The sequence below is a fragment of the Homo sapiens genome, chromosome 14 (assembly GCF_000001405.40).
Source record: "Homo sapiens chromosome 14, GRCh38.p14 Primary Assembly".
Classification (NCBI taxonomy): Eukaryota; Metazoa; Chordata; class Mammalia; order Primates; family Hominidae; genus Homo; species Homo sapiens.
This window is the reverse complement of record NC_000014.9, coordinates 24,111,194-24,136,188: the sequence shown is the minus strand read 5'-3', so window position 1 is coordinate 24,136,188 and position 24,995 is coordinate 24,111,194. Positions and strand designations below refer to the sequence as shown.

General features: G+C 49.5%; 3 protein-coding genes across 9 annotated transcripts in view, besides 5 other annotated features; 1 reads left to right on the top strand and 2 right to left on the bottom strand.

The window, feature by feature from the left end:
• Nucleotides 2-421: a silencer, noted in NCBI's record as "silent region_5623". NCBI's record gives its function as "represses an Ori minimal core promoter by ATAC-STARR-seq in GM12878 lymphoblastoid cells {active_cell/tissue: GM12878}" and the evidence as "EXISTENCE:reporter gene assay evidence [ECO:0000049][PMID:35858748]".
• FITM1 (fat storage inducing transmembrane protein 1) lies at nucleotides 3,342-5,530 on the bottom strand. Its single transcript, NM_203402.3, has 2 exons — nucleotides 4,360-5,530; nucleotides 3,342-3,978 (listed from the first exon to the last, which is right to left on the bottom strand). Exons 1-2 carry the CDS (start codon nucleotides 4,623-4,625, stop codon nucleotides 3,366-3,368), a joined length of 879 nt encoding a protein of 292 aa, NP_981947.1. The 5' UTR covers nucleotides 4,626-5,530; the 3' UTR covers nucleotides 3,342-3,365.
• Nucleotides 5,531-10,946: 5,416 nt separating this feature from the next.
• On the bottom strand, nucleotides 10,947-21,412 carry DCAF11 (DDB1 and CUL4 associated factor 11). 5 transcript variants are annotated; one of them, NM_025230.5, is made up of 15 exons: nucleotides 20,896-21,412; nucleotides 20,440-20,807; nucleotides 19,145-19,272; nucleotides 18,796-18,923; nucleotides 18,457-18,521; nucleotides 18,034-18,134; nucleotides 17,655-17,801; nucleotides 17,385-17,439; nucleotides 16,976-17,044; nucleotides 16,573-16,630; nucleotides 16,293-16,478; nucleotides 15,198-15,351; nucleotides 14,672-14,824; nucleotides 13,112-13,218; nucleotides 10,947-13,014 (listed from the first exon to the last, which is right to left on the bottom strand). In NM_025230.5, the coding sequence occupies exons 2-15, from the start codon at nucleotides 20,592-20,594 to the stop codon at nucleotides 12,880-12,882; spliced, it is 1,641 nt and encodes a 546-aa protein (NP_079506.3). In that variant the 5' UTR covers nucleotides 20,595-20,807; nucleotides 20,896-21,412; the 3' UTR covers nucleotides 10,947-12,879. The 5 variants fall into 5 exon arrangements, 3 of the variants coding, with proteins under 3 accessions (NP_079506.3, NP_001156956.1, NP_852002.1); NM_001163484.2 differs by having other exon boundaries at nucleotides 20,440-20,646; nucleotides 21,265-21,412; NM_181357.2 differs by having other exon boundaries at nucleotides 19,145-19,217; nucleotides 20,463-20,646; nucleotides 20,797-20,904.
• NRL (neural retina leucine zipper) overlaps nucleotides 21,240-24,995 on the top strand; it is a 36,288-nt gene continuing 32,532 nt past the window's right edge. For all 3 annotated transcript variants that reach the window (NM_001354768.3, NM_001354770.2, NM_006177.5), the window contains exon 1: nucleotides 21,240-21,467. The gene's annotated coding sequence lies outside the window, so the exon portion shown is untranslated. The remainder of the gene's footprint in view (nucleotides 21,468-24,995) is intronic.
• Nucleotides 21,333-21,482: an enhancer, noted in NCBI's record as "active region_8189". NCBI's record gives its function as "activates an Ori minimal core promoter by ATAC-STARR-seq in GM12878 lymphoblastoid cells {active_cell/tissue: GM12878}" and the evidence as "EXISTENCE:reporter gene assay evidence [ECO:0000049][PMID:35858748]".
• Nucleotides 21,333-22,159: a biological region, named in NCBI's record as "NANOG-H3K27ac-H3K4me1 hESC enhancer GRCh37_chr14:24583239-24583954".
• Nucleotides 21,444-22,159: an enhancer, noted in NCBI's record as "NANOG-H3K27ac-H3K4me1 hESC enhancer chr14:24583239-24583954 (GRCh37/hg19 assembly coordinates)". NCBI's record gives its function as "activates a minimal SCP1, AML or CMV promoter by ChIP-STARR-seq in primed H9 embryonic stem cells {active_cell/tissue: H9 hESC(primed)}" and the evidence as "EXISTENCE:reporter gene assay evidence [ECO:0000049][PMID:30033119]".
• Nucleotides 21,723-21,862: an enhancer, noted in NCBI's record as "active region_8188". NCBI's record gives its function as "activates an Ori minimal core promoter by ATAC-STARR-seq in GM12878 lymphoblastoid cells {active_cell/tissue: GM12878}" and the evidence as "EXISTENCE:reporter gene assay evidence [ECO:0000049][PMID:35858748]".

Here is a 24,995-nt window from a genome sequence, read left to right as displayed (position 1 = left end):
GCTCGCACCCAGCTCCGCCTTCCTGGGTAGTGGGGCGGGGAGGGCTGGAGGAGGCGGGGTCGGATGGAGGAGGCGGGGTCAGCCCTGCCATGGAAGGGGCGGTGCCGCAGAGGAGGGCGGCGGGTGAGGCTCCGCCTAGCGCGCACAGGCGCTCTTCACCCACCCTCCCCGCGCCGCCTCGCGAGGGCCAGCTTCCAGGCTCCCCACCTCCGCTGGCCCGGTCCCCGCCTCCCGCCTCCCGCCACCTGCCGCCCGCCGCCTGAGGACGGCGGGTCCGGGTCCTCCCATCGCCAAGCCCAAGCCAGTCTCTCCGCGTCCCAACCTCCACCTCCCGCCTCCCAACTGGCTCCCCACCTGCTCTCTTCTTCCCCTGCTCCGCCTGGGACAGATAAGCTTTACTTAGGGCTCTTCCGTCTTTCCCTAGAGATGGAATAAGACCTGGCCTGTCTTTCCTAGCCTTGCTAGCGTGGGCCTCTGGCTCTGCCGACATCCTGCGCACCTGTAGCAACACCGGCACCAGAGCTGGCAGCATCCCTATCCAAGCCCGGACCAACTCTCTCCTGGACCACGGCTGCAGATGCCATTCTATAACCCACTCTCACGGAGCAGCGGGTTCATGCCTCTCTCTGGCTTAAAACCCTTTCTCAGCTGCCTGTTGACCTTTGAATGAAATCCAAAAGGCTGTCGCACCTGTCTCCCCTTTAAGTCCACTTTCTACTGCTTGCCCCTTCATTCATTACACTTGCAAATATTTGGGCTATTTGTTTCTCAGATGTGTCATGTTCATTTCTGCCTCAGGGCCTTTGCCCTTGCTAATAATCCCTTTGCCTAAAACACCCTTACCCTGGGTGTTGTCATTCGGTTCTCAGTTTAGATGTCACCTCTTCAGAGAGAACTATTTTCATCATCCTTTATAAGGAACCTCCCTCCAAATCTATTACAAATCATCCTGTTTTAGTACATTCATAGCATTTATCTCTCTGATATTAGCCAGGTGTTTTTTTTTTTTTTTCCAGGATAATTTACTGATTTAAACCAGGTTTTGGCAAACGTGTGTGTGTGTGTGTGTGTGTGTGTGTGTGTTGGGGGACGGAGTCTCGCTCTGTCGCCCAGGGTGGAGTGCAGTGGCACCATCTAGGCTCACTGCAACCTCCACCTCCAGGGTTCAAGCGATTCTCCTGCTTCAGCCTACGGAGTAGCTAGGACTACAGGCGCGTCCCACCACGCCCGGCTAATTTTTTGTATTTTTAGTAGAGACGGGGTTTCACCATGTTAGCCAGGATGGACTCGATCTCCTGACCTCGTGATCCGCCCGCCTCGGCCTCCCAAAGTGCTGGGATTGCAGGCATGAGCCACCGCGTCTGGCCAACTTTTTCTATAAAGGGCCAGAGAGTAAATATTTTAGGCTTTATAGGCCTTACAGTGTCTGTCTACTCAACTCTGCCATTGTAGTAGGAAAGCTGCCATATGTAAATGAATTAGTTTGGTGAGATAACATTTTATAGACACTGGAATTTGAATTTCATGTAACTTTCTCCTGTAATAAAATATTCTTATTCTTTTGCTTTTTCAACCATTAAAAAATGTAAAAATGGCCGGGCACAGTGACTCACGCCTCTAATCCCAGCACTTTGGGAGGCCAAGGCAGGCAGATCACTTGAGGTCAGAAGTTCGAGACCAGCCTGGCCAACATGGTGAAACCCTGTGCCTACTAAAAATACAAACACTAGACGGGTGTGGTGGTGGGGGCCTGTAATCCCAGCTACTCGGGAGGCTGAGACAGGAGATCGCTTGAACCTGAGAGGTGGAGGTTGCAGTGAGCCAGAATTGCACTCCAGCCTGGGCAACAGAGTGAGACTCTGTCTCCAAAAAAATAATAAAAATAAAATAAAAATAAAAATGTAAAAAATGTTTTACCTTTTAAAAAAAATTTTTATACAGACAGGGTCTCACCATCTTGCCCAGGCTGGTCTCAAACTCCTGGGCTCAAGTGATCCTCTTGCCTCAGCCTCCCAAAGTGCTGGGATTACACTGCCATCACTGCCAGGTCTCTGTCTTTAAAAAAAAATTATATATATATTATATATGCAAATATTATATATAAAATATATAATAATATATATAATATATAAATATATATATTATACATATATAATTATTAGCTCGCAGGTCATACAAAACTGGCCACAGGAGGGCCAAAGTTTGCTAATTCCTGGTTTAGAGGATAGATGATATACCCATATTATCTAGCTTTGTAATCATGGCTCCTCTGTTTATTAGTTGTGAACAAGTTACTTAACCTCTGTGTCTCAGTGTTTGCAACTGTACAATGGGAACACTACTATCTCAATTTTTTTTTTTTTTTGCCAATCAAGATCAGTACAACCTACCTCATACTTTTATTGTTGTGAGGACCAAATGTGTTAACTTTTTTTTTTTTGAGATGGAATTTCACTCTTGTTGCCCAGGATGGAGTGCAGTGGTGCAACCTCAGCTCGTTGCAACCTCCGCCTCCCGGGTTCAAGGGATTCTCCTGACTCAGCCTCCCAAGTAGCTGGGATTACAGGCGCCCGCCACCACACCCAAGTAATTTTTTTTTTTTTTTTTTGTATTTTTAGTGGAGATGGAGTTTCACCATGTTGGCCAGGCTGGTTTTGAACTCCTGACCTCAAGTGATCTGCCCACCTCGGCCTCCCAAAGTGCTAGGATTATAGGCGTGAGCCACCGCGCCCGGCCATATGCGTTAACTTTTATAAAGAACTTACAGACACTTAGAACAGTGTCTGGCACAGAGTAAACGCAGTGCAAGTGTTTTGCTATTATTTGTGTGATCTATTATCTGCCTTCCCCAGTTAGCTCATATGCCTCCAAACAGCAGAAATCTTGTCTTATTTACATGGCATAGAACTATGCTCAGCTCAATAAACATTTGTTAAATAGATGAGCACATACAGACCCCCTACGGGGAAGACAGGGTAGGAAAAGTCCCTGCGAGGAGTGCCCAGATAGGTAGGCCCCTGAAGAGAGGGAGTGGAGATTCAGTGGAGAAGGCAGGAAAAACAATCAAACAGGCTGGAGATGGAGCAACTGCTCAGCAAGAATGATGCCCACACCTAAGGGCATTACCTTAGAAGCACCATTCCTGGATGTCTCAGTCCCCAGATAGCCTGAAGTCTGCAAAAACTAGGAGACTGAAAGGACAGCTGGAGGGATGGAGGTCAAGCATAAGGAAGGACATTCAAGGTTGATGAGAGCAAGGAATGGCTGGGGAACCCTAGTGACTACCAGACCCTCTTCCCACCCTTTCAAGGACCCAACCAAATGATGAGAGGAGCCACAGCCAGGCCCGATGGTTTTTATTTCTTTCAGTTATGCTTGCGGCTGGAGTGGGGACGGGGGAAGAGCCCATGGCCTGGGCTCCCTGGAGACCAGGGCTGATGATACCAGCTGCCATAGGTGAGGTACCAGGCAAAGGTGCCCACTGCGGCGCCCACCACCTTGTGAGTGTACTGGTGGAAATAGATGACGGTACAGAGCAGCAAGAAGTTCCAGAGGCCCAGCAGCAGCACGTTCAGCAGGAAGACAAGGCGCAGTGGGGCGCCGGCAGGAAGCCCATGGGCCAGGTACTTGGCGAACACAGCTGCTTCCTCTGCCATGAGCAGGCAGCAAAAGGTGAGCAGGAAGGTGTGGGAGGAGACGGTGTAGCCTCGCCACTGGTGGCCGGCTGCCAGGCAGCTGCGGCGGTCAGGCAGCTCGTGGAGCAGCAGACCCTGGGGCAGTGGCTCGAAGCAGGAGCCAGTCAGGTCCTCGATGAGCAGGAAGGCCCGGCCGGCTCCCCGCCACACGGCTGCCCCTACTACCAGTCGGCTCAGGTGTCTGGCAGTTACTGCCACGCGCCGTGTAGCCAGGAACACCACCAGCAACACAAAGCCCCCTAAGAAAGTGCATGTCCAGCCCCAGGCTGAATTCACAAATTTTCTGTGGGCAAAGAAGGGAGACTATTGAGACCCCAAGCTCCATCTCCCACCCTGGTCTGTGCTCCCATCACTGCACTCTCCCCAACCCTACACATCATCACTCGTTCTCTCCTTGCCGTGCCCTTTACAGCCCCCAGTCATTTAACCTTTGCTATCTCCTTGGAAGACAATTCAGCATTCCAGGGTCCATATTTCCTCTTTAGTCCTGTTCCCAACTTCCCCTGTACCCCAGGGCTCTGTTCCCTTCCCCCTCCCCCGACCTTTTCCTCAACCTCCTAGCCTATTTTTAGTGTTCAGACTGGCAGGAGGACAGAAGCCTGGAGAAGGGAGCTAGGATCCCAGAGTGCAGGGACCCGGCTCCCACAGCCTTGAGTGGACTCACATGTTGAAGAAGTTGCCGTGGCTGGCGAAGATAGTCCGAGGGTTGACATGGAACTGCAGAAGCGGCCCAAAGATGACCACTGCTGCCAGCCAGGCATGGTAGAGGCGCCGTAAGCAGGGGCTGCCCAGAAGGCGGGCGGCCTGTTCGCTTCCAAAGTACAGCAAGGCAGAGGCCACCCAGAGCAGCACCTTGAGCAGGCAGCCCAGCAGTGCCTGGATTCGGGCCCCGGCCCCCAGTCCTGCCCCCACCACCGGCCCCCGCTCCATGTTCCCTCCCCTCCCCACTAACTGCTTGCTTTGCTGGGCAGCTGAGGAGGGGCTGATGGGGCCCCCCCTGGACAAGGATAGGCAGTGACAGGTGTGGCAGACACAAGGCAGAGCCCTGTTGGCAGCTGGCAGGTGGGGGAGAGGGGCGGGGGGCAGTAAGGGGCCAGGGTGGAGGTCTGCCACGTCAGCAGGGTCCTGGCCTCGGGTGTGTGGTAGTATGTGTCCTGACAGCAGTCTGTGTCCTTTCCTGTTAGTCCTGTGTCCTTGGCTCCGACCATGTTCCAGTTCCTGTGACAGGGCCAGCTGTTCAGGGCTGTCCTTGTCCATAGTCTGCCAAAGTCCCTCTCCACCCACCCCTACTTTACCATTTGCTCCACAGGGAAATCAGAGGTCATGGAGATAAAAATAACCAAACCTTGAAAGTCGTTTTTTAAAAAAAGCTGCCAGTCTTATCAGTGTGATCTAGCCCTTCTCCTGGGGTTCTGAGCACAAGAGCCCACCAACAGCAGGATGCAGCAAGGTGGCTGTGCACAGCACTGTGGCCATCATAGGCCTTGGGAGGCAGATCAGCATGGGTATCCACTTCAGTGCCCTGTGACCCCAGCAGCTTGGCTCTGCCCTAGTTCCTGTCTGGATTGAGGGTCTCTAAGGGACTAGTTTGGCCCAGGGCTGCTGTATAAACTGGCGGTTTCATCTGTTGATCACGTTGACCCTCAGATCCCTAAAGATTAGGTTTACTCCCAGGTGACAGAGGTAGAGGAGACCCTAAAAGGGCAATTGCCAGACAGGAGTCAATTGAAACCTTAAGTTCCATCCTCCAACCAACTACCCTGGGCCTCAGGGCTCTCCATATAAGCCTGCCCTCCCAGTCTGACTGCTGAGGCGGCGACAGCAGGGCAGTCAGCTACCTATCCACGGAGAGTGCCTGTTAGTCAGTAACTGTTTCGAGATCACTTTTTCTTTCTTCCTCATTCCTCAAAACCAGTGGTGGGATTTCAGAGCACAGCGGAAGTAGTGAAAGGAATGAGCAAGCAAGGACACCTGAGTTCTGGGCCCAACTGTGTGACTTTAGGAAAATCAATGAACCCTCTTCAGTCCTCAGTAAATCAATTTCCTTTATAAACTGATCAAGACAGATTGGATAATCAATCAGATTCCTTCCAGATCCTAAAGCCCATACCTTGGAATAGTGACCTTCAATGAACCCTATAAAAGAATTTTGAACTAGGCTGGGCATGGTGGTTCACGCCTATAATCCCAGCAGTTTGGGAGGCTGAGGTGGATGGATCGCCTGAGGCCAGCCTGGCCAACATAGTGAAACCCCGTCTCTACTGAAAATAAAAAAATTAGCTGGGCACGGTGGCGGGCGCCTGTAATCCCAGCTATTCTGGAGGCTGAGGCAGGAGAATCGCTTGAACACGGGAGGCGGAGGTTGCAGTGAGCCGAGATTGTGCCATTGCACTCCAGCCTGAGCAACAACAGCAAGACTCCGTCTTAAAAAAAAAAATTCTTTCCACTCATTTTTATTTATTAAAGTTTTATGATTTATTTTTTTGAGACAGTGTCTCACGCTTGCCCAGGCTGGAATGCAGTGTGCTATCACGGCTCACTGCAGCCTCAAACTCCTGGGCTCAAGTGATCATCTGCCCTAGCCTCCTGAGTAGCTAGAACTACAGGAATGCATCACCATGGTTGGTTATTTTTTATTTTTTGGCCAGGTGTGGTAGCTCATGCCTGTAATCCCAGCACTTTGGGACCAGCCTGAGGAGCCACAGGAGTTCGGGACCACCTTGAGCTGGTCTCACACAGTGAGACGCCGTCCCTACAAAAATTAAAAAAATTAGCTGGGCATAGTGGCACGTGCCTGTAATTCCAGCTACTTGGGAGGCCGAAATGGGAGGATCACTTGGGCCCAGGAGGTTGACATTGCAGTGAGCCGTGATGGCACTATTGCACTCCAAGCCTAAGCAACAGAGTGAGACCTTGTTTCAATATTTATTTTGTAGAGACAAAGTCTCACTAAGTTGACCAGGCTGGTCTTGAACTCCTGGCCTCAGGTGATCTTCCTGCCTTGGCCTCCCAGAGTGGTGGGATTACAGGCATGAGCTACCATGCCTGGTCTCATTGTGGTTTTAAATAGTTGCAAAGGACATAATTTCTAGTGTATCATATACTGACATTTCAAAATAAATCCATTATATCACTGTTTCAAATGTATCCAATGAAATGTAAATACTACAGTGATTAGATACTTCACCTTTATCCATTAAAACATGACAAGATTTTACATCAGAAATTATATTTCCATTCTACTCCCTCACAGAATTTATCCTAATATGTTTTTATGCCTGAAAGTCTTTTATTGACCATTTATCACATTTCTCTGCAAGAAAAGTAACTCAAAAAATTTAATTTTTTGTTTGTTTGAGATGGAGTCTCACTCTGTCGCCCCGGCTGAAGTGCAGTGGCACGATCTTGGCTCACTGCAACCTCTGCTTCCTGGGTTCAAGCGATTCTCCTGCCTCAGCCTTCCAAGTAGCTGGGATTACAGGCGCCCGCCACCACCCAGCTACTTTTTTTTTTTTTTTTTTTTAGTAGACATGGGGTTTCACCATGTTGGCCAGGCTGGTCTCGAACTCCTGACCTAGTGATTCGCCTGCCTCGGCCTCCCAAAGTGCTGGGATTACAGGCGTGAGCCACCGTGCCCAGCCAAAAAATTTAATTTTTTATAGTTTCTGGGCCCAGTGTGGTGGCTCACACCTGCAATTCCAGTCCTTTGGGAGACCATGGCAGGAGGATCACTTGAGCCCAGGAGTTCTAGACCAGCCTGAGTAACATGGTGAAACCTTATCTATACAAAATATACACAAATTAGCCAAAGATGGTGGCACCCACCCAGCTACTCAGGAGGCTGAGATGGGAAGATCACTTGAGCCCAGGAATTTGAGGTTGCAGTGAGCAGTGATCACACCACTGCATTCCACACCACTGCACTCCAGCCTGGGCAACAGAGCAAGACTGTCTCAAAAAATAAAAATAAATAAAATAAATAAAATAGAAATGTCCTGTGACCATAAAGCCCTAAGAGTTAATTTTTTTCCTATGGATTCTATTTTCATTGTAACTGTTAGTAGTCTAAAATATATTATTAGTACATGAATACCTTAGTTTTTGGGGTTTTTGAGACAGGGTCACTTTCTGTCAGGAAAGTGAAACAGTCTTATTACTGACATGGAGAAAGTTTTAGTGGTCTGGGTAGAAGATTAAAGCAGCCACAACATTCTCTTAAATCAAAGCCTAATCCGGTGGCATGATTGCAGCTCACTGCAGCCTTGACCTCCCTGGTTCAAGTGATCCTCCTCTCGCTGAGCTGGGACTACAGGTGCAGGCCACGAAGTTTGGCTAATTTTTAAATTTTTTGTAGAGACAGGGGTCTCACTATGTTGCCCAGGCTGGTCTTAAACTCCTGGGCTCAAGTGATCCTTCTGTCTTTGCCTAAAGTGCTGGGATTACAGAAGTGAACCGCTGCACCTGTCCAGGAAAAGTTCTTAAAGGAAATTAAAAGGTACTACACTTCAGTGAACACATGAATGATACAAAAGTGAAATAGCCTTATTGCTGATATCAAGAAAGTGTTAGTGGTCTGGATAGAAGATCAAAGCAGCCACAACATTCCCTTAAACCAAAGCCTAATCTGGAGCAAGGCCCCAACTCTTTTTTTTTTTTTTTTTAAGAGACAGTGTCTTGCGTTGTTGCCCAGCCTGGAGTGCAGTGGCATGATCATGTCTTACTGCAGTCTCAAACTCCTGAGCTCAAGCAATCCTCCTGCTCTGCCTCCTAAGTAGCTGGGACTACATGTGCATGCCAACACTCACTATGTTGCCCACACTGGTCTCCAACCCTTGGCCTCAAGTGATCCTTCCATCTTGGCCTCCCAAAGTGCTGGGATTATAGGTGTGAGCTACTGAGCCCAGCCTATTCTCTTCAATACTATAAAGACTGAGAGTGGTGAGGAGGCTAGGAGAGGTTGGTTCATAATGCTCAAGGAAAGAAGCCACCTCCATAACATAAAAATGCAAGGTGAAGCAGCAAGTGCTGATATAGAATCTGCAGAAAGTTATCCAGAAGATCTAGCTAAGATCATTGATGAAGGTGGCTACACTAAATTACAGATTTTCAAAGCAAACAAAACAGCCTTCTATTGGAAGAAGATGCCACATAGAAGTTTCACAGCTAGAGAGAAGTCAAGGCCTGGCTACAGAGCTTCAAAGGACAGACTAACTCTTTTTATTAGGAGATAATGCACCTGGTAACTTTAAGTTGAAACCAATCCTCATTTACCATTCTGAAAATCCTAGGGCCTTAGGAATTATGCTAAATGTATTCTGCTGTGCTCTATAAATAAAACAACAAAACCTGCATGACAGCACATATGTTTGCAGCATGGGTTACAGAATATTTTAAGCTCACTGTTAAGATCTACTCCTCAGAAATAAAGATTCCTTTCAAAATATTACTGCTCATTGACAATGCACCTGGTCACCTACAAACTCTGGAGATGTACAGGGAGATTAATGTTTTCATGCCTGCTAACACAACATCCATTCTGTAGCCCATGGATCAAGGAGTAATTTTGACTTGCAAGTCTTACTTTTTTTTTTTTTTTTTTTTTTGAGACTGAGTCTTGCTCTGTCGCCCAGGCTGCAGTGCGGTGGCGCGATCTCGGCTCACTGCAACCTCCGCCTCCCAGGTTCATGCCATTCTCCTGCCTCAGCCTCCTGAGCAGCTGGGACTACAGGTGCCCACCACCACGCCCAGCTATTTTTTTGTATTTTTAGTGGAGACGGGGTTTCATTGTGTTAGCCAGGATGGTCTCGATCTCCTGACCTCGTGATCCACCCGCCTCGGCCTCCCAAAGTGCTGGGATTACAGGTGTCAGCCACTGCACCCGGCCAAGTCTTACTCTTTAAGAAATACATTTCGAACCCCGTCTCTACAAAAAATAACAAAAACGAGCTGGATGTGGGTGGTGTGTGCTGGTAGTCCCAGCTACTTGGGAGGCTGAAGTGGGAGGATCGCTTGAGTCCAGGGGGAGGCAGAGGTTTCAGTGAGCTGAGTGCACCACTGCGCCTGAGCGACAGAGCAAGACCCTATATCAAGCAAAAAAAAAAAAAAGAAAAAAAAAAACATTTCGTAAGACTGCAGCTGCCATAGTGATTCCTCTGATAGCTGTCGACAAAGTCAACTGAAAACCTTCTGGAAAGGATTCACCATTCCAGATGCCATTAAGAACATTCATGGCTAGGCACAGTGGCTTATGCCTATAATCCCAGCATTTTGGGGGGCTGAAGTGGGAGGATCGCTTGAGCCCAGGAGTTTGAGAACAGCTTGTGCAACAGGACGAAACCCCATCTCTACAGAAAACACAAAAATTAGCCAGGTGTAGTGGTGGGCATCTGTAGTCTCAGCTACTCAGGTGGCTGAGGTGGAGGACTGCTTGAGCCAGGAGAGGTCCAGGCTGCAGTGAGCTGAGATCATGCCACTGCACTCCAGCTTGGGTGACAGAGTGAGACCCCGTCTCAAAAAAAAAAAAACAAAACAAAACAAAATTTTTTTTTTCCCCAGAGTCTCACCCTGTGGCTCAGGCTGGAGTGCAGTGGTGCGATCTCAGCTCACTGCAACCTCCGCCTCCCAGGTTCAAGCGATACTCCTGCCTCAGCCTCCTGAGTAGCTGGGACTACAGGCGCCTGCCACCACACCTGGCTAATTTTTGTATTTTTAGTAGAGACGAGGTTTCACCATGTTGGCTAGGCTGGTCTTGAACTCCTGACCTCAGGTGATCCACTGCCTCGGCCTCCCAAAGTGCTGAGATTACGGGCATGAGCCACTGTGCCCAGCCTAAAAACAACATAACTTTTATATGCACTGGGAAACCAACAAAATTGACTCGCCTTATGCAATATTCACTTTATTACAGTGGTCTGGAAATGAACTCACAATATCTCCTAGGTATGCCTGTACAACAAACATTTTACATTACTTCGATAACATAAAATTATATTGTAAATGCATCTCTTACTGAGAATGGTCGGTCTGTGGGGCTTTGATCTAATGAAGCTATAAGGATACTAACAATTTGAATTTCTCTCTTAATTTGGTGCCCTGGAAGTAACACAGGTTCTGGGTGAGATGGGTAGCACCTTAGGTAACTTTATCACTTGGCAGACGGGGAATGAAAAGCGTGGATGGGAAAGGAGATCTGGCACGGGAGTTTCACACTAGGTAGATCAATTTGAGGAATGAGAACACAGAAGCCAAGGATCTGAACATTTATTTATTTATTATTTATTTTTGAGACAGGGTCTCACTCTGTCACCTAGGCTGGAGTACATTGGCACAATCACGGCTCACCGCAGCCTTGACCTCCTGGCCTTAGGTGATCCTCCCACCTCAGCCTCCTGAGTAGCTAGGACTACAGGCATGCGTCACCACATCTGGCTAATTTTTTTTTTGAGACAGAGTTTTGCTCTCGTTGCCCAAGCTTGAGTGTAATGGCATGGTCTTGGCTCACTGCACTCAGCTCACCTCTGCTCCCAAGTTCAAGCGATTCTCCTGCCTCAGCCTCTCAAGTAGCTGAGATTACAGGCACCCGCCACCATATCCGGCTAGTTTTTTTGTATTTTTAGTAGAGATTGGGTTCCACCATGTTGGCCAGGCTGGTCTCAAACACCTGACTTCAGGTGATCCACCTATCTCGGCCTCCCAAAATGCCGGGATTACAGGTGTGAACCACCGTGCCCGGCCTACTTTTTGTATTTTTTGTAGAGATGGGGTTTTGCCATGTTGCCCAGGCTGGTCTCAAACTCCTGGGCTCAAGCGATCCATCAGCTTTGGCTTCCCAAAGTGCTAGGATTACAGGCATGAGCCACCACACCTAGCTTGTTTATTCTTTTAAAACTGCCTATTTTGCCATGAAATAGGTACCCTTGCTGTGAAAGCCTGTGAACACCCCTGGATGTGTGTACCTTCATTTAAAAACTGCCTTAGAGGGCATGAAATGTCATCAGGGAAGATCTATTCCGAGCTGGGTGTGAGCTCTAGCCCTCTCCCTGACCATCGGTTTGCTCTGGGGTATGAGGTTCTGAGTGTGAGGCGCCCACTGGGGCCTGGCGTCAGGGCCGACTTGCTTCTCTTAGGCTCTGCGTTCAGGGGCTACCTCTTCCAAAGACTACACAGCTGCAGGCCCAGCCTCAGAGCAGAGGTGATATGGGTATTACCAGGCTCTAATGGAAAGTGTGCTCTCTCGATATCTACTTGCAGGGAAGCTTCTGAAATTGGTAAGGGAGCACCTATTGCAAGGCTCAGTGAACAAATGGTTTTGGTATTTCCCTTTTTCATGGGGCACCAGAAGGGTATTTTCTCCTACACAGGATCGCATCTGAAGACTTTGCTGAACTGTGTTTTCCTGAAGTGAGGAGATGAAAGACCTCAGATAGGAAAAACAGAGAGTGAGAGAGAGAGACAGACACTGAGCCAGGTTCCCACACAGTTTATTGAGGGAGCCAAAGCCAGTGAGAGGACGAAGGAGTCCTACTTCAACCTACTTCCTTAAAGCTGTGTGCCTCCAGCATGAAGGGACCTTCCCAGAGGGCAGGGCCTGCCCTATAAGGGGCCACATGAAGCCTTGTGGAGACTCCTGCCTCTCATACCACAGCCTGTCCTACCCTAAAGACCCAGACATGACAGCAGACATAATCCCCACCCCAGGAGGGTGCTGAGGAAACACCCTTACCCATGCCCCTCCCCTAGAGACCTCAGGAAGAAAGGCCAGGACACCTGTCCTGTGATTGGCCAGTTGAATCCTCAACGTGAAGACCTGGCAGGCCTGGCTGACAGGTCTGTTCAGATGTGGCCTCAGGCATCTACTCTAGGATCCAACCCCTAACATTCAAACATGATTAAAAACACCCAGGACACTTCTCTTGCTGGCAGAGGCCACACCCCAGATAATGGCAGTCCTGCCAAACTCTGGCCAGAGATAGGGACCCAAGCTGACTGGGTGTGAGCACGTAAGGAGACCACTCTGCCCCATGGGGAGAATCTTCCAGGGCTCAGCTGAGGCTCAGAGCCCAGGCTTATGTTATTCCCCATCAAATGCCAGTGATTCCTCCAAACATTCCCCACAAGGGAGAAAGGGAGGAGGAGGCAGAGAGCTTATCAAGAGGTTCACCCTATATGGGGCTGGAGGTTGGATCTACTGGGGTGAGGAAAAGGGTGTAGAGGATTGGGGCACTGGGGCAGGGGCGCTGGCACATTCCTCAGATTCTGGCATGTCATCCTGGAAGTACTCAGCCTGGCGGTACTGCCACAGACGCAGGTTCCCGTCCCACTGCAGGGCAGAGGGTGGCAAGCAGTCAGGATGTGCTGCCCCCACCCAAGTCCAAGCCCCAGACATGTGCCAGCACCCTCAACCCTTGCAACCTCACCGAACTGCTGACAATCTTCTCTTCAAAGGGGTGCCAACTGACGTCACGCACACAGGCCTTGTGGTTGGTCAGCTTCTTCACAATGTGGCCACTTAGAAGGTCGTACACTGTCCAGGACAGGCAAGAGTGGAGAGGGACCACCACAAGACATCTAAACTATCCCTCACCTCCCCATGAGTAGCACCACTGACCTGCCTCTCAGGCAACTTCCCATGTTCCCATGGGAGCAAAGCCCACACCAGAAGACTGTGTTATTTCTGCTTCTATCCCTGTTCCTTTCCATACCTTGGGTTGAGGGTATGGTTTAGTGGTGTGGGTATGTCTGGCCCTTAGCTAAATTTCATAGGGGCTACAGTTAAGGAAATGCACTGGCTTTGAAGATTTTAGTAAGATATGGAAGGCACCACAAAAGTGAACAATGAGCTGTCTGGGGGTGTGTGCACCTGCTGCACCTTATCTGGACAGGGTGCATCTTTCTTTTGTCATGGGACTGTGAGTGTCTCTCTAGGGACAGCACTGCCTTAGGCTCCTTGTATCTGCAGCTGTGCTTCTGGTTTTTTTTTTCTTTTTCTTTTTTTTTTTTTTTTGAGATGGAGTCTCGCTCTTGTTGCCCAGGCTAGAGTGCCGTGGCGCGATCTTGGCTCACTGCAACCTCTGCCTCCCGGGTTCAAGCGATTCTCCTGCCTCAGCCTCCTGGGCTCAAGCGATTCTCCTGCCTCAGCCTCCCAAGTAGCTTGTGATTACCAGCGCCTGCCACCATGCCTGGCTAATTTTTGTGTTTTTAATAGAGATGGGGCTTCACCATGTTGGCCAGGCTGGTCTCAAACCCCTGACATCAGGTGATCTGCCCGCCTCGGCCTCCCACGGTGCTGGGATTACAGGCATGAGCCACCGTGCCCGACCTTTTTTTTTTTTTTTTTGAGACAGTTTCTCACTCTGTCACCCAGGCTGAAGTGCGGTGGCACAATCATGGCTCACTGCAGTCTCGGGCTCAGGTGATTCTCCCACCCTAGCCTCCCAAGTAGCTGGGACTACAGGCCTGTGCCACCATGTCCAGCCATTTTTTGTAGAGACAAGGTTTCTCCATGTTGCCCTGGCTGGTCTCAAACTCCTGGGCTCAAGTGATCTGCCCTCATTGGCCTCCCAAAGCCCTGGGGTTACAGGCATGAGCCACTGCAGCCAGCTTATTTCTTTCTATGCTTTTCTGCTTTAGCGACTGCATGTCCCTTAACTACTTGCTACCATCTTCCTGTGTCATTTTGTCTCTGTTCCCTCCTACCTTTCATCTGCAACCTCTTTCTTGACTGGCTGAAAAACAGAACCAACTATATTTTTGGCAATCTATTATATTTACTGTCTAGAATTCTATGTTCCTTTTCTTAATTTAAAACACTGAAAAATAGAATGGTTTCTATTTCTCTGTTTAAGCCTCCAAGCTAAGTTTGATTTTACCTGTAGCTGTCACTGGGCTTTTTAAGGTGGTCACTAGTCGTTATAGGTGGAATGGCAAGGAGTCATTCCTGCCCTTCCTGAGGCCCCCTGTTCTGACACAATCCTTACCAACCACTTTGCCAGTGGAGCAGCCACTGTAGATGAACTGCTGGCCAGTGCTATGAATGGGGGAGAACCGGCAGCGGATGAGGGTGTGCAGCACTCCGTGGCCCCGGTAGGTCATCAAGGAGCTGTCCCCTGGGAGCTTCAGCTTCCGCCAGGCTGGGTAGGGATGCAGAGTAAACCCTAGGTTAGGAAATCTGCTTTGGGATTGTTTCGTACCACCAGTCCTGAGCAAGGTTCGATGCCCAGAGACAAATGCCTTTCCAATCTTCAAGTGGTGGCTCTTTCTCCACCTAATAGTCAGTGGACAGTCTCCAATATGGCCCTGCCGGTTAATCATTACACTCACATACTTTTATATTGGTTGATTCTGAGTGACCCCCACCCAGGCCCCAATCCTAGGAACCTCTGGCCATTCCATCCATGATTTAGCAAATAAAGAGTTAATGCCTGGCAAAGAGGGCTGAGGGGGAGGTCCTCCAGGGCTCCCAGGCTACAGACAAATCCACTGTGCCTGTACTTCCAGTCTCACCTTTTTTGGGCACTTGCTGCCACCGATAGTCCCAGTTTTGCTGTGTGGCAGCCTGGCGTGAAGCTTCCATGCCTTCCCGGCTGGAAAAGCGTCGGATATCCCAGAGTTTGATGGTCTGGTCTTTAGAGTTGGAGATCAGATACCGGGCATCACCCTATGAATCCAAAGGTGGATAGTGAAGCATCAGAGCTTGCAAATGTCGGCGCCTGTCAGTCTAGTTCCCGTTCTCTAGTTGAGCAGAAGAACTCTGGCCTCTGGCTTTACTTGCCTCTCTTCATCCAGGTGAACTCATTTCCAGCGTTCTGCCTCAGATCCTACCACCTGGCTAGGTTTTCCTTTCCTTGCCCAGGCTACTGGCCGGCTTTCCTATTCTAGCCTTAATCAGATTGTCTTCCATTTTTCTTTTTTTAATTTTTAATTAACTAATTTTTTTTTGAGATGGAGTCTTGCTCTGTCACCCAGGCTGGAGTGTAGTGGGGTGATCTCGGCTCACTGCAAGCTCCGCCTCCCGGGTTCACGCCATTCTCCTGCCTCAGCCTCTTGAGTAGATGGGACTACAGGCGACTGCCACCACACCCAGCTAATTTTTTTGTATGTTTAGTAGAGACGGGGTTTCACCATGTTAGCCAGGATGGTCTCGATCTCCTGACCTCGTGATCTGCCCGCCTCGGCCTCCCAAAGTGCTGGGATTACAGGCATGAGCCACGGCATCTGGCCTTAGTTTTTTTTTTTTGTTTTTTTTTTTAAATAAATAGAGATGAGGTCTCGCTAGGTTTCACAGGCTGGTCTGGAACGCCTGAGCTCAAGTGATCCTCCCACCTCAGCCTCCCAAAGTGCTAGGATTACAGGTGTGAGCCGCTGTACCTGACCGGTCTTCCATTTTTCTTGTACGGAAAGCCCTGCCCTGCTCCTTGAGGACTGGTGAGTACAGATGGAATTCATGTTCCCTGGCTTGAGCCCCTTCCCTAAACTCCAACTCTTACAAACCTTGGTTAATAAGGAGCTTGTCAAATTCCCACACCAGTCCGCTTTCATGCCCTCCTGGGCAACTAGAACCTTAGCGGCCTGGCTGTACAGTCCTGACTTCTGGCCCACCTTGCTGTCAATGAAGGTGATGCCATCCTGGTGTCCAGCCAGTGCACCCACAGGCTTGGGGTCATCCTCCCGCATGGTGCGTCGATCCCACACTTTGCAGATGGCATCATCTCCCCCAGAGAACAGGATTTGGGAGCTTATATCAGCAAAGGCCACTGCATTCACATCATCCTCATGGGACTCAATCTAGGCGAAAAGGAGGCCAGGATATAAGACCTCTTTCTAGGTCTTATAAAAAGCCAAAAACCAGGAGGCAGAGGCTCTATCTCAGGAGCCATACCTGAAGGGTGCGCCGGTTCTGTTCTCGGTCAAAGACATACAGGCAGCCATCATTGGCCCTGAAAGGGAAGGGATAAAGGAGGGTCCTGGAGCCATGATCGAGAGGACCAACGTGGTATATGCTCTAGAGAGTTCCACTGAGAAATCCTGCTCTGGGTCAAGCCCTTTGCTCTTTTTATACAGGAAGTGGGGGAAGAGTTAGCTGTGTTTCAAGGAGGCTTGACACCTCCAATCTCGTGCTGGGGAAATGGAGAGCAAGGGGTGAAGCAACTTGTAAATCCTGACCTTGGGAGAAGGTCTGGTTGTTCTCTGCAGCTGCCAGTGCCATCTGTGTAACAGCAGAACTCATCTCTGGCAGAACCCCCATCTTGTTATTGAGGGAAACATACCCCACAAGCACTTACCCTCCTAGTACTTCTCGTCCATCTGAGGAGACAGCAATGGAGAAGACAGCAAAGCGACGCTCATCTGGCCTAAAAGCAAGAAGGAGCTGGGTTAAGTGGACTTCCTTCAGCTTTTGTTAATCTACATAAAATCTGACAACGGTTGTAAGGCACATCCCCAGGGGAAAAAAGAAGTCTGGCTAACATGCACCATAATGCAGATGCTCAGTGAGAACCCAGAAATCATCCTGCAACCATCTATTTTACCCAGTCCTCTGGCTGACAAGATGGTGCTTCCCTCCCAGGAATGCACACAGACCCACCAGTATACTTTTTCCCCTAAACAGAACTTCCAACTCAAGAGGTTTGCTCCCAAAGAGCTTCCCTTGAGAAGTTTCTGATGAGTCTGACCAGAAAGGGAAGCCAGTACCTGAGATCCAGGGCAGTGTGTGTATCTCCCTCACCATAGATATTGCAGATATGAACTAAGAGAAGCAAGAAAAACAAGAATCTTTCAGGGATGGGGGAAGAAGAGTGGAAGTGAAGCTAGGGAAGAGATCAAACAGGGGACAAGGGTACTGGAGCACTTTGGGAGTGATTTTCCCAGGACAAAGTGAGGGATCCTGGCTCAGAGGGGACAGGCACATGGAAACCTCAGGTCCCAGGCTGGAGAGTCAGTGGAAGCCTGGTGCATACTCACTGTAATCAGACCAGCTAGAGTAGAGGAAGTGGTTCCCATCAGGGGTGAAGGCCACATCCAAGACGCTCCAGCCTACGTCGCGGGCCTTGATGCTCTTGAATTTACGGAAACGGCCATATCGGCAGTCATAGAGTCGGATTGTCTGGTCTGTGTAAGTAAAGATCAGGCAGAATTATGGGACAGTTTCCTTGTAACTTTTCTAGATTAGACATCTCCCACTCAGTGTACCTGTGGAGTCTTCCCTTTATCATGGGAAACATGGTCTGGCTAAGCATCCTTAAGCCAGGTCTGAGCTCCCCGTCTGTGGCTTTCTAGCCTCAGTCAGGGGGAATGTCCCATGTTCCAGGAAAAGATAGTTTATAGGACCAGGGTCTGGTACCTTGGCAAGCAGACATGAATATTTGACCATCTTTGCTGTAGATGCCACAGAAAGCCTTCTGAGAGTAGCTATCAGTGAAGCCCAGATCATTGGGCAAGAAGCTAGGGAAGGAGAGAGAAAGTGAGGGTGAGGGGTGCTCAGGATAAGGAGTGTCCCAATCAGCAGAATCCTAACAGAGCTGGAATATCAGAACAGTCATTCTTCCCTTTTGGCTGTGAGTGCAATCCCGTCTTTCAACCATTCCACCATCCTCTAAATTTCTACAATTTTCTACACTTTTCTACTTTGTTTACTCTCAAAGTTTCAACCCCATTTAACCTAACCTTTAATATCTCTGAGGCTCCTTTAACACCTACCCCTTCAAAGTTTAGGAGATAAGACCTATCTGGCCCTTAGAGTCTCTTCACCAAGCCCCATACTCACTGAGATATCACTCGAGACTGTTCTCCAAGGGAGAAGCTTCCCCGATGGCAGAGGCCCCGTTCTCTCTAAATGGAAGGGATTGGGGAATATTGCTAGCAGAAATAGAGGGCCACTTCAGCCATATCAAGCCCCCTCCTCCAAAGATATTGCTCTTGTTATAGAAATGGACACACACATCATAGTCTGTCCCACAGAACTCCGATGGAGGCTGGTTAACTCTCCAGCCCCAGCGCTTGAGGCTTCTACTTTGGAAAGTTGACTTCCTTTTTCTCTGGGGCTGGCAGAGCTTCTGGCTGCTTTGGCAGGCCTGCTGCCAGGCTGGGAGGTGGAGAGGCCTACCTGGTGCAACATTCGAGGAAAGCTGTGCTTCTGGGCGGCCCGCCTAAGCCCCAGCTGCCCTGTGGCCAGTTCCACTTGTGTCTTGATCTCATTGAATTCCAGCTCCCGGGTGTCAGGGGTAGCATCCACTGTGAGTACCAAGGAGAAGTTTCATCCTAGGTCTGCCAGCCTCAGAGGACAGTTAGCAGAACTGTACCCAAGCCCACCCCTGTGGCTGAATATACTGGGGCTGTAAGGACTCCTTATTCCTTAAATTATCGTACCTTCTTTCAATGTAACCTATCATTCAAAATATCACTAAAAGGTTTTCTAGTAAAAGTCTTCCAACATTAGGGGCTTTTCCTCTTACCAGGTGGGTTGTATCGATCCCCAAGACGACCATCCCAAGCTCTGTCATTCTCTTCCTCTGAGTCCAAGAGGGCCTGAATGAATTGTAAATTTGCTGCACCTCCTCCCTGCACCAACCTCACTTGGCCTCTGTGGAGAGACCCCCATTATAAAGGAGGGGACTTCTTCCCCCAAACCAACCAAATTCAGAGTCAATGGCTATCTAGCTCTTAGACCACTTGGTACTCATTTTGAGGTTTGAGGCTGACTAGACCTTGGCTGTTATTTTTGGTCTCCTATAAAACACAGTAGGAAAGAGAGTTTTACTCTTACAGCAAGAGCAAGACCAACATGCTGTGGACGTGACCTACTAAGTTGACCTCCCAGCGAGCTAAACATTCTAACATCATTTCCTTAGAACAAGAGCAAGACCAATACGCTGTGGACATGACCTACTAAGTTGACCTCCCAACAAGCTAAACATCCTCACAGCATTTCCTTCTGAGCCTCTGCCTGAGAAGTCCACCACAGAAGACAATATTCTAAGCTGGGTGCGGTGGTGTGTGCAACTGTAGTCTTAGCTACCTGGGAGGCAAGGATTGCTTGAGCCCAGGAGTTGCAGGCTGTGGTGTGCACTTGATCACACCTGTGAATAGCCCGTTCTCCAGACTGGGGAACACAGTGAGCCCTGTCTATGTCTACTAAAAACAACACAAAACACAAACAAAAAAGAATACAATATTCTGAAGGGACCCCCAAACCCATCTTCTCCTCAAAGAGCCATAAGCAAAGAAAGAAAGCCAGCTGCACCCTTTTCCAGTCAATTCCAGGTGGTCTCTCCCTTCAAGGCATTCTTTCCTCAAGAACAGGTTAGAGTCAGGGCAAATTAAACTTGTTTTTCAAGTAAATCGAAGTGGCCTCATATCATGTGTCAACTGCCTTACTAAAAAGTTCAACACTCCCTTCCCATCTCTTCACCCCTTACATCACTCCTTTCCCACTAGGACCCCCCCCTTTTTTTTTTCAAGCTTACTTGGAAAATAGACTATATTTGTGTAGTCACAGAGACAGGCTCCCTTGAATAGCCCCTCAAACACATGAGCAGGTCCTCTTGGTGACCCTCCCTAGGTAAGAACCACTCTTACTGGGTATGGAGCTGAGTGCCATGGGTGCCCAGCAGGGAAAGGCTGTTCAGCTCAAACAGAACAGCTGTCCTGAGCGAATCCCATTTCCTAACCTCTGTAATTTTCCTGCCTGGAGTTGGGATCAAGGCACTGTGGTAGCACCTGCTGGGGGTCACACCAGAGGGTAAGTTACCTGCGGAGGAGATAGGCCAGTACCTGGGCCAGATCCACATCTTCATCCTCTTCTTCCTCTTCCTCACTCCGACGCAGGCCAGCCCCTCTTCGGGGCAAGCCCTCGGAGGGGTCTCCGGACCCGGATCCTGCACTGCTGCTGTTCCGCGATCCCATCTTCTGGTCACAGCATTCTTAGGTCCTGTGCGGGGGCTCCTCCTGTCACCTCCTTGGGTTTGGTGAAAGCAAAGCGTGCTCTAGAAATACCAGGGTCTCCTGAGACGGGGTAGTAGCTATCTCTAGGAGGGTGACCCTTCCTCGGGGCTGAGATCCCTTTTCTTTAGCCTATGCCAACTACCAAGGCGTCGGGAACACAAACCTTCTCCAATCCTGTGAAGCAAAGAAAGCAAGAGTGAACCGTAGTGCGCTACCCTAGCTCACCAACTGAAGAAAGATTTGTTTTCTACACCAAACTCACCTATCGAAGTCCCCGGACTGGGGAGCGGGAGGGGTGTTGGGCGGTGTTGGATTTCCAGGTAACCTCTCTGACCGACCAATCGAAATCCCTCTCGGAAGAAAGCGCTTCACTAGCTTATCTCATCTAACCAATTAGAAGCCTTAGGACTCAAAGACCCTCGACGCCCCCACCTTATCGACCAATCAGAGCGCCCCCTTACAAAGGCCGGCAGCAGTGACAGCCAATGAAAATAGAATTTGGCCTAACACCCCTCCTTCCTCGCCTCACGCCCACGTGGTGCGCCGGGGGTGTGTACGCCATGAGGGGGAGGAAGCCGAGAAGCACCTCCCACTGAAGCCGGCGGTAACCGCCCCACGCGAGACCACCCACCAGCCAGGAGCGGTCGCAGGACCCGCAGCGGCGCGAGGCCTTGTTTACACCGACTGCCGCCACTGCGTTGGCCAACCGCTCCTCCGTCACGCGCTTCGCTCGTCACGCATCTCGCGGCTTCCTGGCCGGCGGGCTGCAAACGTCACACGACGGCCCCGCCCCCTTGGCCAGCCAACTGGACAGCGGAGCACGATGATTGATAGGTAGGCGGGAGAATGCGCGAGGTGCCTGAGGGGAGGAGAAAGTGCACACCCAAGGAGGGCTGTTAGCTCTTGCTGGGGAGGAGTAAGTGGGAACTGCCAGCTTCCTGAATCAGAGACAGCCGAACTAGGCGTAACGGCTGAGAGGCGGGGCTTAAAAAAGAAACGTTTGGTGGTTCGCTACCGAGAGGTATTTTAGCAAGGGATATAATTTACTGTCTGTCCCTAAAGATCATTTGGCATCGCACTTTTCAGACAGTGCCCAAGGGCCTCCTTTCTCCCCACTGCTTCCCCTGTCCAGCTGGAGCCGTTCTTCTGTCGCTGGCCGCAGCTCCAGTCGGTTCTGCCCTAAGGGGTGCCCAGCGTCCCAGTAGACCTCCATACCGTCCTTCCGGGCTTAGCTTTTGGAAGCCTTGCTCTTGGGACGGTCCCCTTTTAGACCTCCCTTTATCCGGTCTGACAATTTTTTAAGACAATCCCTGGCTTTCCGCCGCGGTCTTTGCAGACGTTCCCTAATACACGCGTCTTTCTGTCAAAGCTTTTCCGGTTCCGCTGTCCCCTTTGACGCTCCCTTGGCCCTCCGGGATTTGCAGACCTTCGCTAGTCCCTCTGTCCTCGCGGTGCCTCTCCGCCCCCGGCCGCGGGTCCAGGGTGCGCGCTCGCCGCCTCCTGCCCCCTCCTGCCCCCTCCTGCGGGTTTATGAGTAACAAGCCTGAGTCCAAGGCCGGGAGTTGCCACATCTCTGATCCTCGCCCTGGCTGGGTGGGGACGTGTGGGTTGAATGACCTTGCTGTCTCGGGCTCAGAGGCTCAGGGTCCGAGCTGAACTTCATTCCCTGCAGCCTGCACTTCCTTGGGAAAGCTGCGAGCTTCCCTCCGCCCGCTCCTGAGGGCAGGGATGGGAGCGAGGGCTCGTGGCCTTCTTGGGCCCTCCTGGGGCCTCTCCCAGTGAGGGCGAGGGTTTGGCCAGCTTTCGGGCGACGTCTCCTAGTCTCTAGATCCGGAGACCTGAGCTTGTCACCAGGGCTAGCTTTGATGGCCTCTGCGCTTAGAAGGGTCCTGAATGTTTGGTTTAATGTTCTAGTGTTAACGGTCTTGAAATTATTAGTAATTTTAAAGCAAGTGCCTGGTATTTTCATCTTGCACTCGGCTCCACTGATTATGTAGGCGGTCTGCTGGGCGCCCATCCTCTATTGCCAGATTACTTACTATCTGTGCTTTAACGTTTATTGAGACTTTAGGATTCCGTGGTTTCTGGGTTATCCAGCCTGGAAAATCGGGATCTTTATTTATTGATTGATTTTACCTGCGTTCTCCCAGAATGTGACGGAATCATTTTTTTTTTTTATTATACTCTAAGTTTTAGGGTACATGTGCACATTGTGCAGGTTAGTTACATATGTATACATGTGCCATGCTGGTGCGCTGCACCACTAACGTGTCATCTAGCATTAGGTATATCTCCCAATGCTATCCCTCCCCCCTCCCCCGACCCCACCACAGTCCCCAGAGTGTGATATTCCCCTTCCTGTGTCCATGTGATCTCATTGTTCAATTCCCACCTATGAGTGAGAATATGCGGTGTTTGGTTTTTTGTTCTTGCGATAGTTTACTGAGAATGATGGTTTCCAATTTCATCCATGTCCCTACAAAGGACATGAACTCATCATTTTTTATGGCTGCATAGTATTCCATGGTGTATATGTGCCACATTTTCTTAATCCAGTCTATCATTGTTGGACATTTGGGTTGGTTCCAAGTCTTTGCTATTGTGAATAGTGCCGCAATAAACATACGTGTGCATGTGTCTTTATAGCAGCATGATTTATAGTCCTTTGGGTATATACCCAGTAATGGGATGGCTGGGTCAAATGGTATTTCTAGTTCTAGATCCCTGAGGAATCGCCACACTGACTTCCACAATGGTTGAACTAGTTTACAGTCCCACCAACAGTGTAAAAGTGTTCCTATTTCTCCACATCCTCTCCAGCACCTGTTGTTTCCTGACTTTTTAATGATTGCCATTCTAACTGGTGTGAGATGATATCTCATAGTGGTTTTGATTTGCATTTCTCTGATGGCCAGTGATGATGAGCATTTCTTCATGTGTTTTTTGGCTGCATAAATGTCTGCTTTTGAGAAGTGTCTGTTCATGTCCTTCGCCCACTTTTTGATGGGGTTGTTTGTTTTTTTCTTGTAAATTTGTTTGAGTTCATTGTAGATTCTGGATATTAGCCCTTTGTCAGATGAGTAGGTTGCGAAAATTTTCTCCCATGTTGTAGGTTGCCTGTTCACTCTGATGGTAGTTTCTTTTGCTGTGCAGAAGCTCTTTAGTTTAATTAGATCCCATTTGTCATCCTCCCTAACTCATTTTATGAGGCCAGCATCATTCTGATACCAAAGCCGGGCAGAGACACAACCAAAAAAGAGAATTTTAGACCAATATCCTTGATGAACATTGATGCAAAAATCCTCAATAAAATACTGGCAAACCGAATCCAGCAGCACATCAAAAAGCTTATCGACCATGATCAAGTGGGCTTCATCCCTGGGATGCAAGGCTGGTTCAATATACGCAAATCAATAAATGTAATCCAGCATATAAACAGAGCCAAAGACAAAAACCACATGATTATCTCAATAGATGCAGAAAAAGCCTTTGACAAAATTCAACAACCCTTCATGCTAAAAACTCTCAATAAATTAGGTATTGATGGGACGTATTTCAAAATAATAAGAGCTATCTATGACAAACCCACAGCCAATATCATACTGAATGGGCAAAAACTGGAAGCATTCCCTTTGAAAACTGGCACAAGACAGGGATGCCCTCTCTCACCGCTCCTATTCAACATAGTGTTGGAAGTTCTGGCCAGGGCAATCAGGCAGGAGAAGGAAATAAAGGGTATTCAATTAGGAAAAGAGGAAGTCAAATTGTCCCTGTTTGCAGACGACATGATTGTTTATCTAGAAAACCCCATCGTCTCAGCCCAAAATCTCCTTAAGCTGATAAGCAACTTCAGCAAAGTCTCAGGACGGAATCATTTTTTAAAAAAATTGGCCGGGCGCGGTGGCTCACGCCTGTAATCCCAGCACTTTGGGAGGCCAAGGCGGGTGGATCACCTGAGGTCAGGAGTTCGAGACCAGCCTGGCCAACATGGTGAAACCCCGTCACTAAAAAAAAAAAAGCCGAGTGTGGTGGCATGCGCTTGTAATCCCAGCCACTCGAGAGGCTGAGGCAAGAGAATCGCTTGAACCCGGGAGGTGGAGGTTGCATTGAGCCGAGATCACGCCACTGCACTCCAGCCTGGGCTACAAAAGCGAAACTCCGTCACACACACACAAAAAACAATCAACCAACCAAACAAAAAACACCTATGCCTCTTCCGGTAGTTGATCTGCTGAAGAATCCTCCTCTAACAGCATTTAGTGCTTAACGCACAAGTGAGCTGGGCACGGTGGCTTACGACTGTAATTCCAGCACTGTGGGAGGCCGAGGAGGAGGATCATTTGTGGCCAGGAGTTCAAGGCC

Coding starts and splice junctions, on each gene's coding strand:
- DCAF11 (NM_025230.5), bottom strand. CDS start 20,594: ATGGGATCGCGGAACAGCAGCAGTGCAGGATCCGGGTCCGGAGACCCC. Junction 17,045..17,384: donor CACACTGCCCTGGATCTCAG/GTACTGGCTTCC, acceptor TCTTGCTTTTAG/GCCAGATGAGCGTCGCTTTG. Junction 13,219..14,671: donor CTCCACTGGCAAAGTGGTTG/GTAAGGATTGTG, acceptor TGTCCTGGACAG/TGTACGACCTTCTAAGTGGC.
- FITM1 (NM_203402.3), bottom strand. CDS start 4,625: ATGGAGCGGGGGCCGGTGGTGGGGGCAGGACTGGGGGCCGGGGCCCGA. Junction 3,979..4,359: donor CACGGCAACTTCTTCAACAT/GTGAGTCCACTC, acceptor CTTTGCCCACAG/AAAATTTGTGAATTCAGCCT.